This window comes from Homo sapiens, chromosome 7 (assembly GCF_000001405.40).
Source record: "Homo sapiens chromosome 7, GRCh38.p14 Primary Assembly".
In the NCBI taxonomy this organism is placed as follows: Eukaryota; Metazoa; Chordata; class Mammalia; order Primates; family Hominidae; genus Homo; species Homo sapiens.
This window is the reverse complement of record NC_000007.14, coordinates 1212655-1224855: the sequence shown is the minus strand read 5'-3', so window position 1 is coordinate 1224855 and position 12201 is coordinate 1212655. Positions and strand designations below refer to the sequence as shown.

The following is a 12201-nucleotide window of genomic DNA, read 5'->3' as shown; positions in this document are numbered from 1 at the left end:
TTCATTCATTCACTCACTCATCCATCCATCCATCCATCCCTCCCTCCCTCTCCCCTGCCCCCTTCTGCCCCCACCCCCTGCACGGAGTGGAGGGGTCAGGGCGGGGTGCAGGCCGGGGTGCAGGACTCGCGCACGCAGCAGAAGCCGGTCTGCTCTGCGCTTCGGCACCGCTCCAGCCTGGGGCGTGGGGCCCGCGCCGGCCAGGCCTGGTTAACTGGAAAACGATGGAGCCGCGCCCCGCCCCCGCACTTGCGGCCTAATTGTTTTCCCTCGCCCGTCCCCATCTGTCCCTCTCCGCCCGTGTGTGTTTTGGCCTTTGTCTCGCTGCCCCGCGCTGACACCCTCTTTCAAAGGCCGCTTCTGTCGCCCTTCACCGATCTCTTCTGCCCCATTAACCCATCGGCACGAGGCTCCGGCAACAAAGGCCTGAAATCGGATGGACGCGCGCGCGCTCTCCCCACCGTCCGCCGCGGTCTCCGCGCCCCGCTCAGCTCGGCCCGGCCCGGCCCGATGGGGCGGGAACGGAGCTGGCCAGGAAAGTGCTCGCGGTGGTGGCCCGAGCCCGAGTCCCGCCTGCAGAAGCCGGAGCCTTGGCAGGGGCCCCGAAGCAGCTGCACCCCGGGAACGCACCGCGCGCTGCGAAAGCTAATCCGGCCGCGTCCCCCTTTGTCCCTCCCTGGATGTGAAACTGTCGAGTGGGGGGCCCAGGGCTGCGGGAGGAGAGAGGCAGGTCCTCCTCGGAGCCTGGTAAACAAAGACCAGGAAGCCGGGAACCGAACCTGGGGTGGGACCTCTTCGGATTCCCCCCACCTCCCGGAGAAGGCCACGCAGCGGCCGAACCTCAGGGCGCGCAGATGCCAGCGCTCATGCCCACGCCGCGAAACCCTTGGGGCAGGAAACCCACAATCCCGGGAGGGAGCAGGGTCCTGAGGCCCCAGGCGCCCTCTCCAACCCACCGCCCTCACGGAGGCCGGGACCTCCGTGCAGCCTCTTCGACTACTGCTCATGGGAGAGGAAGGGGTCGAGGCTTTCCCTGGGACCTGTGCAGTAGCTTGACGCCTGGCAGCTCCTTGGAGAGGGCTGGGGGCAGAGGGGAGCCTCCAAGCCGCCTGTCTCTGCAGTGCGGCCTGCATCTTCCCTCTCCTGGGCGGAGGGGTCCTCCCAGGGCTGCCTTCTTCTGACCGCTGTGGCAGGAGGAAGGTGGAGGTCACCTGAGTGTCATCCTACAGGCCACCCGAAGGTCACCTTTCTCTGAAGCGGGGCTTGTTCTCTGAAGCGGGGCTTGGGACCTCAGCAGGAGGCCTCACATTAGTCCAGCTGGTGCTGAGATGCCCATGGGTGCTTAGCCAGTGTAGTCTAGGAGTCCAGCTCAGAGAAAACTTTTTTCACCCAGCACTGACCTGTTTTTATTTTCTGTCCTATGACTCTGCAATGCTCTCTGCAGAGCCATCCTAGGAGACGCCGAGCTGGTCCCCGGGAGGATGGGGACACCTTGTGTCCAGGCTGGGTGAAGGGGTTCCAGTGTCAAACTCAGCCTGGGTTATCTTCTTGTTTTTCAAATTCATTAAACGTTTGAAATTAGGAAGTTGCAAGAACAAGAAAGGGCATAGCAAGGCCGATGCAGACCTCCCAGTCCCCTCTGCCAGGACCTCCCATGCCTGATGGGCCTCTCCATGCTCCACCCTTGCGCTCCTTGGACCAGAGGCCCAATTCTGGGAGTTCTGCCATTTCCTGCGGCTGATCTGGTGAAAGGAGGGTCTTTGTATTATTCCTTTTAGAGGGTCTGGTGGGCTCTAAGGATTCAGAAAGAGCAGGGTCTTCACTGTCTCCCTATCTCCCTTTGACTGGGGCTCAAGTCACATTTCAGTTTTTCTGCTACTGGAGTTTTTTTTTTTTTTTTTTTTTTTTTTTTTTTTTTTTTTTTGAGACGGAGTCTCACCCCGTCTCCCAGGCTGGAATGCAGTGGTGCGATCTCCATCTCGGCTCACTGTAAGCTCCACCTCCTGGGTTCACACCATTCTCCTGCCTCAGCCTCCTGAGTAGCTGGGACTACAGGCGCCCACCACACCCGGCTAATTTTTTGTATTTTTAGTAGAGACGGGGTTTCACCGTGTTAGCCAGGATGGTCTCAATCTCCTGACCTTGTGATCTGCCTGCCTCGGCCTCCCAAAGTGCTGGGATTACAGGTGTGAGCCACCGCGCCTGGCCCTGCTACAGGATTTTTATAAACCCATTTGACAACTTAGAAATCCAAGCCCTGGCCAGGCACAGTAGCTCACGCCTGTAATCCCAGCACTTTGGGAGGCCAAGGTGGGCAGATCACCTGAGGTCAGGAGTTCAAGACCAGTCTGGCCAACGTGGTGAAACCCTGTCTCTATTAAAACTACAAAAATTAGCCAGGCATGGTAGTGGGTACCTGTAATCCCAGCTATTCGGGAGGCTGAGGCAGGAGAATCGCTGGAACCCAGAAGTTGGAGGTTGCAGTAAGCTCAGATCACACCACTGCACTCCAGCCTGGGCAACAGAGTGAGACTGTCTAAAAAAAAGAAAAGAAATCCAAGGCCTGTGTCTGCCCCAGATGCAGCTTTTAGCACGTGGACTCTGGATGGGACACCAGGGGGTCTTCCATACTGGCCAACTTGTACGAGTGTTCAGGCAAAAGCTAGGGGTGAATTAAAGCTTTGAGGGCAACTCACAGAACCACTGGAGTAACTTCACGTGAGTTCCCACCCAGAGGCTGAAGACACGCAGTCTCAGCAATTGTAATAGGACTGTAACAACAGGCAAGGCTGATTTTGTGTGTGTGTGTGTGTGAGACGGAGTCTCTCTCTGTCATTAGACTGGAGTGCAGTGGCGGGATCTCAGCTCACTGCAAACTCCGCCTCCCAGGTTCAAGCGATTCTCCTGCCTCAGCCTCCTGAGTAGCTGGGATTACAGGCATGCGTCACCATACCTGGCTAATTTTTTGTATTTTTAGTAGAGATGGGGTTTCACCATGTTGGTCAGGCTGGTCTTGATCTCCTGACCTCGTGATCCACCCACCTTGGCCTCTCAAAGCGCTGGGATTACAGGTGTGAGCCACTGCGCCCGGCCAAGGCCTATTTTTAAAATAACAGCTTTATTGAGATATCACTGGCACCATCACATCCATCCTTTTAAAGCATACAATTCGGCATCTGTATATACATCCCCAGAGCTGCGTCACCACCACCCCTATCCAGTTCTGGAACATTTTCATCACCCCGAAAAGAGACCTGGCACCCATTAGCAGTCACTCTCCGTCCCCAGCTCCCTCCCCCAGCCCCCGGCAACCACTAATCCACTTTCTGTCTCCATGGATTAGGCGAGGATAATTTTGCAAGAAGAGATCCTACCGTCTGGAAAGGAGTATAAAATGAGGAAACGGGGGGTGAGGACTGAAAATACTTTCTCCTGTGATCAACACGAGAGAAAGAAACAAGGGAAGAAATGCTACCTGGGAACTGGAGGCGGGGAAGGACCAGGAGCTGAGCTCTGCGTCCCTGTGTCCTCAGCCCCCGCCATATGGTTTAAACATCAGCACTCTTGTTTTTTTCAGAGTCTACAGACATGTTCTCATATCTCCCCAGCCCCTTCTGCTGGCAGTGTCTGCATTCTGTGGGCGCAGGGTGGCTGCCAGCATGCTGAAGGTCACAACTGTCCTCTCAGTCCGGCCCCTCCTGTGTGGCCAGCTCGGCCCCCGAGGGGTCCCTGGGGAGGATCCTCTTGGCCTACTCGTCCCCGCCACTCCCTGGTCTTGAGGACTCAATTCCGTATCTGCTGGGTTGGTGTCCTCCTACTACCTTACCAGGTTCGATTTGGAGTTTAACACACTTAAGAGAAAGGTGCGGTAGCTCACGCCTGTAATCCCAGCAGTTTGGGAGGCTGAGGCGGGCAGATCATGAGGTCAAGAGATTGATACCAGCGTGGCCAACACGGTGAAACTCCGTCTCTACTAAAAATACAAAAATTAGCTGGACATGGTGGTGCGTGCCCATAATCCCAGCTACTCGGGAGGCTGAGGTGGGAGAATCACTTGAACCCGGGAGGCGGAGGTTGCAGTGAGCCGAGATCACGCCACTGCACTGCAGCCTGGGTGACAAGAGCAAAACTCCGTCTGAAAAAAAAAAAAAAAAAAAAAAAAAAAACTTAAGAGGTTGCTCAGTTCAGAAAATGCCATTTCGTTTTCCCTGAATAAAAATACTTTTGAACTTAGCCTATTTTCACACTAGATTTTGCCCTCCCCCCAGTTCTTTACAAGCCCCGGCTCCTGACAATCTCAACGTTGGGCTTCTAATGAGTATTTTCTTGATTTACAGCAGAAATGAGCAGTTATCTGCTAATAACCCCTGAGTCTGAAATTAAAAGGGATAGAGAAAATAAACCAAATTGCAAAGATCAGCTCTCGTTAAATAAAGTCGTTGTGAAAAGACACGTAACAACGCTTTCACCCCCCAGATCAGAGACACGATGGCTCGTCATTTGAGGGTTGCAATTATTTAACACTGCTCAGTAGCCAAGGGACACTTACCCCAGAAACATTAAATGGACATTTGTTAATTAATTCTCAGCAGAGCCCTTCCAGCTACTTACACACAGACAAACTGAGGCAGGGGTGAGGGGCAGGGCGGAAGGGAGCTCTTCCCACGTCCCCCCTGCTCCATTATGACTTAGGCCCCTCCCATCTTATCAACTCGTTCCTGCCCAGGGATGTGTGACAGTCAGAGGGTGGCTAAATTGCTCTGAAGATTTCATAAACAAAGGCATAGCTAAAGGAATAATGTTCCTGTTGCCTTTGACCTTCCTACAGAGTCAGAGGTCAGTCAAATTCCACCCACCAGGAGAAAAACAAGAAACTTGAGATGGTTCACAGTAACCTCAAGTTAAGGAGTCCATGGGTAGTGAGTTCCGGGGGTGATGGGGATAGGACATCTGTCTACAGAGATATGCAGCAAGTCTGCAAGAAGAAATTACATCCCAGTTAGGGTCATGTGTGAGAACTGGTCATGAGTGCGAACTGGAGCTCACCGGTGTCGTCGTGAGTGAGGGCCAAGGTGGCAGAGAAGTTTAAACCTTCAGTCTCCCAGGTTCCCGGTTCTCCCGCCTGCCCCAGCCACCAGGGGTGTCTCCAGGCCCCACACAGGAACCTGAGAGCTGTTTGCTCTCTCTGGCTTGCTGCAAACAGCTTTCATTCCTAGACACAATTTTTTTTTTTTTGAGATGGAGTCTCACTCTGTTGCCAGGCTGGAGTGCAGTGGTGCAATCTCAGCTCGCTGCAATCTCTACTTCCCCGGTTCAAGCAATTCTCCTGCCTCAGCCTTCCGAGTAGCTGGGACTACAGGCATGTGCCACCACACCCAGCTAATTTTTGTATTTTTAGGAGAGACGGGGTTTCACCATGTCGGCCAGGCTCCTCTCCAACTCCTGACCTCAGGCGATCTGCCCACCTCAGCCTCCCAAAGTGCTGGAATTAAAGGCATGGGCCACCATGCCCGGCCCCTGGACACAACTATTAATAGCAGTGGGTCAGGGGAGTGAGCCCAGGAGACCGGGGGAATGCAGCTTCTTGGTGCTCTGTCTGAGAGACTTGCTGCCCAGCTCGCAGGGGAACGTCTGCATGGCAGGTGCAGGGGTTGCCACTCCAGGTCCCCTCCTGACCCCTACTCCCCCACACCCAGCTCATTTTCAGAACCCCTTCGTGACCTCCCGCTGGGCCATTGCAGCTCTGGGCCGGTCAGTCTGACACTGCAACGCACCCGGGGTGCAACCCACGTTCAGAATAGGCAGGAGGAGCGCTGGGGGCCTGTGTCACAATGGCCTGAGTAGAGGCTGGGTGGCCCATCGGATTCTCGGGACCACTGCAAAGCAGAGGGAGCATAGCCTGTGGGAAGCGTGAGCGGGGGCCGCCTGCTTCTCCTCCTCTGCCCGGTTACACGGGCTAGGGCAGGCTGCTGGAAGAGGCCCACCGAGTTCCCCCATGGTAGCGTCTCTGGAGTCTTGGGGCCCAGGCCACTCCCACGGAGCGGCGAAACCATGCCCTGCTCACGGGGCTGCCAGCATTGCTGAAAAGGCCTCTTTTGCTTTCATCAGCATTGTTAAAGTGCGCTGGAGACAATGGGCACCTGGCTTGTTCACCTTCAGGTTTGGCTCAGGGTCACTGGCAAAGGCGGGCCAACCTCTCTCTGCCTTCTCTAGGAAACTTCTGCATCATTTGGTTATGGCTTCGTTTCCCCCTAAATAAGATACCCTCAAACTTACTAAGACGAGAGTGACTCATTTTTTTTCATTAAAAAAATTTGTTATTATTATCAGGCCGGGCTACTAAATACTAAATATTTAATATTTTTGTATTTTGTATTTTGTATTTAGTAGAGGTTTTCACTATGTTGGCCAGGCTGGTCTCAAACTCCTGACCTCAAGCAATCCACCCACCTCAGCCTCCCAAAAAATGACTTTCAAACAGAGTTCTGTATAATGGTGAAGAACCACAGACTTCAAGATGGAGGAAACGGTCATGAGTCAATGCCTCAGCCCTCAGACAAAACACAGGAGAACAGAGACAGGGAAGAGGACCTGTGTCACCAGGAGGCTCCTGCGGCCACCTTCCTGAGAAACTGGGGGCGATGCTTTCCTGAGCTCAGGTGTGTGAACGAGAAGGTGACTGGTGTGGTGTGCGGGGGTGGCTGGGAGCTGTCCTAGAAAGAAGACTTTCGTTGTCTCCCCCGAAGGACAGGCTGTTCCAAAGTCCAGGAGAAGCTCCCACCTCCCTGAGTGCCCAGGGGTCAGAGGGGTGCAGCAACCTCGTTGCCCTGTACATGGCACACATAAAGGCCCCAGCTTGAGGCAGCATCCGGGGTCTTCCACCAAGACTACCAGGCCCCACCTGCACAGGTCGGGTTATTGCTATGGCCATGAGGGAGGCCATCTATCTGGGGGTTTTGGGGGCATCTCAATAAAGAAGAGCGAAAATGGCCAGGAGCGATGGCTCACGCCTGTAATCCCAGCACTCTGGGAGGCAGAGGTGGGCCGATCACTTGAGGTCAGGAGTTCGAGACCAGCCTGGCCAACATGATGAAACCCTGTCTCTACTAAAAATACAAAAATTAGCCAGGCGTGGTGGCACCCACCTCTCATCCCAGCTACTCGAGAGGCTGAGGCACGAGAATCACTTGAACCCAGGAGGCAGAGGTTGCAGTGAACCGAGATTGTACCACTGCACTCCAACCTGCGTAACAGAGTGAGACTCTAAAAATAATTTTTTTAAATGTCAATTAAAATAAAATAAAAAATATTAAAATTTAAAAATGCACCTTTAGTCCCAGTTACTTGGGAGGCTGAGGTTAGAGGATCACTTGAACCTGGGAGGTCGAGGCTGTAGTGAGCCTTGGTTATGTCACTGTACTCCAGCCTGGGCAACAAAACGAAACAAAAAAACAAAAACAAAAACAAATGGGTAACATGGAAAATTTTATGTTATGTCTCTTCAACGCAGTGAAGAGACAACTTGCAGAAGGGGAAAAAATATTTGCAAACTATCCACCTGACAAGTGACTAATACCCAGAACATACAAAGAACTCAACAGCATAAACCCAAAGATTCCAGTTTAAGAATGGGCAAAGGATCTGAAGAGACTATCTAAAAAGAAGACATATAACTGACCAACAAACATATGAAAAAATGATTGGCATCACTAATCATCATGGAAATGCAAATCCAAACCACAATGCGATATCATCTTACCCCAGTTAGAATGGCTGTTATCAAAAAGACAAAAAATAACCAGTGCTGGTGAGGATGTGGAGAAAGGGGAGCTCTCATATGCCCTTGGCGGGAATGTAAACCAGTACAGCCGTGACGAAAAACAGCATGGAGATTCCTCAAAAAACTAAGAGAGGGGCAGGTGCGGTAGCTCACGCCTGTAATCCCAGCACTTTGGGAGGCCGAGGCGGGTGGATCACCTGAGGTCAGGAGTTTGAGACCAGCCTAGCCAACGTGGTGAAACCCCATCTCTATTAAAAATACAAAAAATTAGCTGGGCATGGTGGTGCATGCCTGTAATCCCAGCTACTTAGGAGGCTGAGGCAGGAGAATCGCTTGAACCCAGGAGGTGGAGGTTGCAGTGAGCCGAGATCGTGCCATTACACTCCAGCCGAGGCAACAGAGCGAGACTCCGTTTAAAAAAAAAAGAAAGAAAGAAAAAGAAAACAGACAAATGAATAAAGAAAATGTGGTATACTGTGCAGGATCTTGATTTAAAAGAAAAGGAAATGTGGTATATATACACCATGGAGTACTACTCACCCATGAAAAAGGATTCGATCCCGTCACTTGCAGCAAAATGGGTGAGGCTAGAGCTCATTATGTTAAGTGAAATTAGCCAGGCACAGAGAGACAGGTACTCCTTGTCCTGACTCATGTGTAGGAGCTTAAAAAGCTGAGCTCAGGCCGGGCGCGGTGGCTCACGCCTGTCATCCCAGCACTTTGGGAGGCCGAGGCGGGTGGATCACCTGAGGTCGGGAGTTTGAGACCAGCCTGACCAACATGATGAAACCCCATCTCTACTAAAAATACAAAATTAGCCGGGCGTGGTGGCGCATGCCTGTCGTCCCAGCTACTAGGAGGCTGAGGCAGGAGAATCACTTGAACCCGGGAGGCAGAGGTTGCAGTGAGTCAAGATTGCACCATTGCACTCCAGCCTGGGCAACAAGTGTGAGACTTCATCTCAAAAAAAAAAAATGCTGAGCTTGTAGAAGTAGAGAGGAGAATTGTGTTAAGAGAACCCGGGAGGGGGAGGGGAGGGAGGGCAAAGAGAGGTTGGTTAATGGAGCAGAATCACAGCGGGTCAGGAGGAGTAAGTTCAACTGCTCCATGGCACTGTCGGGTGACTCAAGTTAACTGTAATTTATTGTACATTTTCAAAACGCTACAAAAGCAGATTTGGGTTTCTTTGGGGGGGGTTATTTGTTTTGGTTTTTGTTTTTGTTTTTTTTGAGACGGAGTTTCACTCTTTTTGTCCAGGCTGGAGTGCAATGGCACAATCTCAGCTCACTGCAACCTCCACCTCCTAGGTTCAAGCGATTCTCCTGCCTCAGCCTCCCGAGTAGCTGGGATTACAGGTGTGTGCCACCACGCCCAGCTAATTTTTTGTATTTTTAGTAGAGATGGGGTTTTCGCCATGTTGGCCAGGATGGTCTTGATCACTTGACCTTGTGATCCACACGCCTCAGCCTCCCAAAGTGCTGGGATTACAGGCATGAGGCACTCCACCTGGCCTTGTTTTTGCTTTTTGAGACAGAGTCTCGCTCTGTCACCCAGGCTGGAGTGCAACTTCCACCTCCAGGGCTCATGATCCTCCCACCTCAGCCTCCCTAGGAGCTGGGATTATAGGTGTGCACTACCATGCCCCGATAATTTTTTTATTTGTAGAGACAGGGCCTCACTATGTCGCCCAGGCTCATCTCAAACTCCTGGGTTCAAGCAGTCCTCCTGCCTTGGCCTCCCAAAGTGCTAGGATTACTGGCATGAGCCATCACAGCCACCAAGAGTGGAACTGGAATGTTCCCTACACAGATGATGATAGATGTTAGAGTGGTGGGTCTGAGAATTACCCTGATTTGATCATTATGCACTGTATACATATATCCGAATATGGGGTACAGGGTGATATTTGGGTACATGTATACAATGCATAATGATCAAAATAAATATGCCTAATGATCAAAATAAAGTAAAAACGATATAAATTATTACGTAGCAACTAAAAAAAAGAAGAAAATATTTCTCAAACCGGCCCCCAGCAGAAGTGGGGCTTCCCCCAGGAAAAGGGTCTTGGGTGCAGGTTGAGCTCGGCTGGGCAGGTCTGAACGCCACAGCTGAACACAATTCGGGTTTCAGCAAAGCCGTGAAGTCCATGGAGGCGGGGAAGTAGAACAGGTCCCAACAGAAATCTGAGGGCTCGATCTCATTCCTTCCATCCTGATGGGCTTCATCCCAAGCCAGCCTTTCTTGCTCTGGGTGGCTCTTGCCCCTCTTTCTAAGGAGTCCTCAGCAAGACCCAGGACACCCACCGAACGCAGGCAGGCTCTCCCCGCGCCTCTCTCTGCGGCAACTCAAGACGCAGGGCTTCCTTGGTGCCCCCTGGCTCCCGGGGATGCGCCCCAAGGGGGAGGCGTCGGGAGGCTTCGGGCCGCTGCTGGCTCCCTGAGGGTCCCTATGCAGACCTCAGTCCCACTGCATTCCCCGGCTTAGAAGCCTTGCGGTTCACACCTTATGCTCTGTCTCCCCCAGACACGCAGGTGTCTGCCCACGGGGCAGGGCACCGATTTCTGGCCAAGTTTAAATTATTTCCAATTCTAGTTCTGGCATTGAGGGAAGAAAGCTGGTTGCATGAGGACCACACTAACCAAGGTTTTCTCTTCCCTACTGCTTTCATTTGTAGACTCTCCTCACCTTTAAAAGAAACTCTGCCAGGCCGGGCACGGTGGCTCACGCCTGTAATCCCAGCACTTTAGGAGGCCAAGGCAGGCAGATCACGAGGTCAGGAGTTCGAGACCAGCCTGGCCAATATGGCGAAACCCCGTCTCTACTAAAAATACAAAAATTAGTTCGGCGTGGTGGCAGGTGCCTGTAATCCCAGCTACTCGGGAGGCAGAGGCAGGAGAATCGCTTGAACTGGGAGGCACAGGTTGTAGTGAACCGAGATCAAGCCACTGCTCTCCAGCCTGGGTGACAGAGTGAGACTCCATTTCAAAAAGAAAAAAAAAAACTCTATCTTACCAAAAACACTCCCATTTGATCGGGGAGAGAATCTCTCAACAGAGTAGACTCCGACTAGAAGCCCTGGGCTCCGACACGGGTGCTTTTCCAAACCATAGCAGTCATGCTTCCCGCAGACGCCGCGTCTGGTGGAAAACCCCCTTTTTCTGTGATCACACATCACACCTGGAATTTGTTTCCTTTCTTCCTTCCTTTCTTGCTTTTCCTCTTTCTTTTTCTTTTTTTTCCCCCTCCTTTCTTTCTCTTTCTGTTTTTCCTTTCTTTTTTTTCTTTTGAGACAGAATCTCGCTCTGTCGCCCAGGCTGGAGTGCAGCGGCGCTATCTCAGCTCACTGCAGCCTCTTCTTCCTGGGTTCAAGCGATTCTCCTGTCTCAGCCTCCCAAGTAGCTGGGATTACAGGCATGTGCCACCACGCCCAGCTAATTTTTTTGTAATTTTAATAGAGATTGGGTTTCTCCATGTTGCCTAGGCTGGACCCGAACTCCTGACCTCAAATGATCCGCCCACCTCGGCCTCCCAAAGTGCTGGGATTACAGGTGTGAGCCACTGCACCTGACATTCCCAGCACTTTGGGAGGCCGAGGCGGCTGGATAACCTGAGGCCAGGAGTTCGAGACCAGCCTGGCCAACATGGTGAAACCCCGTCTCTACTAAAAATACAAAAATTAGCCAGGCGTGGTGGTGCATGCCTATAATCCCAGCTACTTAGGAGGCTGAGGCAGGAGAATCGCTTGAACCCAGGAAGAAGAGGCTGCAGTGAGCCAAGATTGCACCACCGCACTCCAGCCTGGGTGACAGAGAGAGACTCCATCTCAAAAAAAATTAAAAATAAATAAATAAATAAAAATAAGCCACCAAAAGAAGAGGGTTAGTTAAAGGCCCAGGGAGATGTTCAACGCACAGAGTGAGGGAAAGGCACTTGGAGGGCATCTGTCGGGCCCCTGCGCCACCGGGCAGTCGAAACTCACACTGTGTCCCCGTATTTGAGCCTCACGGTCCCTAGCCTCAGCTGTTTTATTAATTTTTTTAATCTACAATTTTTAAACTACTGTTGCATTTATGAGAAGAATGGGGGAGCTTATTGAGGTTGTGTTTTTATTAAAATTTATGTTAACTTTTGCTATCAGTGCAGTTGTAGATTAATTAATTTCTACTACTCTTCTAAAGCAAAAAAGTATCAGAGCCAATCCCAAATTACCTCAAATGTGAAACAAGCCAGAGAAAGAGCAAGCGTGATCTCCAAACGCACATTTACACTTGGAAGAAGTTTGTGACTGAGGCACTGAGGTTAGCCAGGCGGCGTCTTGGGAGAAGAAAGCTTCCCTTTGTCTAGGAGAGATTCAGGTGAAGTTCCGCTCAAAGAAAGATGCTCTTAATTCTGATCAATAAACACATACCGATTTACTC

At 51.8% G+C, this 12201-nt stretch overlaps 1 annotated feature.

Annotated features, from left to right (window-relative positions):
* Positions 1389-1683: a silencer, noted in NCBI's record as "tiled region #5475; K562 Repressive DNase matched - State 12:CtcfO". NCBI's record gives its function as "represses a minimal TATA promoter and a strong SV40 promoter by Sharpr-MPRA in K562 cells {active_cell/tissue: K562}" and the evidence as "EXISTENCE:reporter gene assay evidence [ECO:0000049][PMID:27701403]".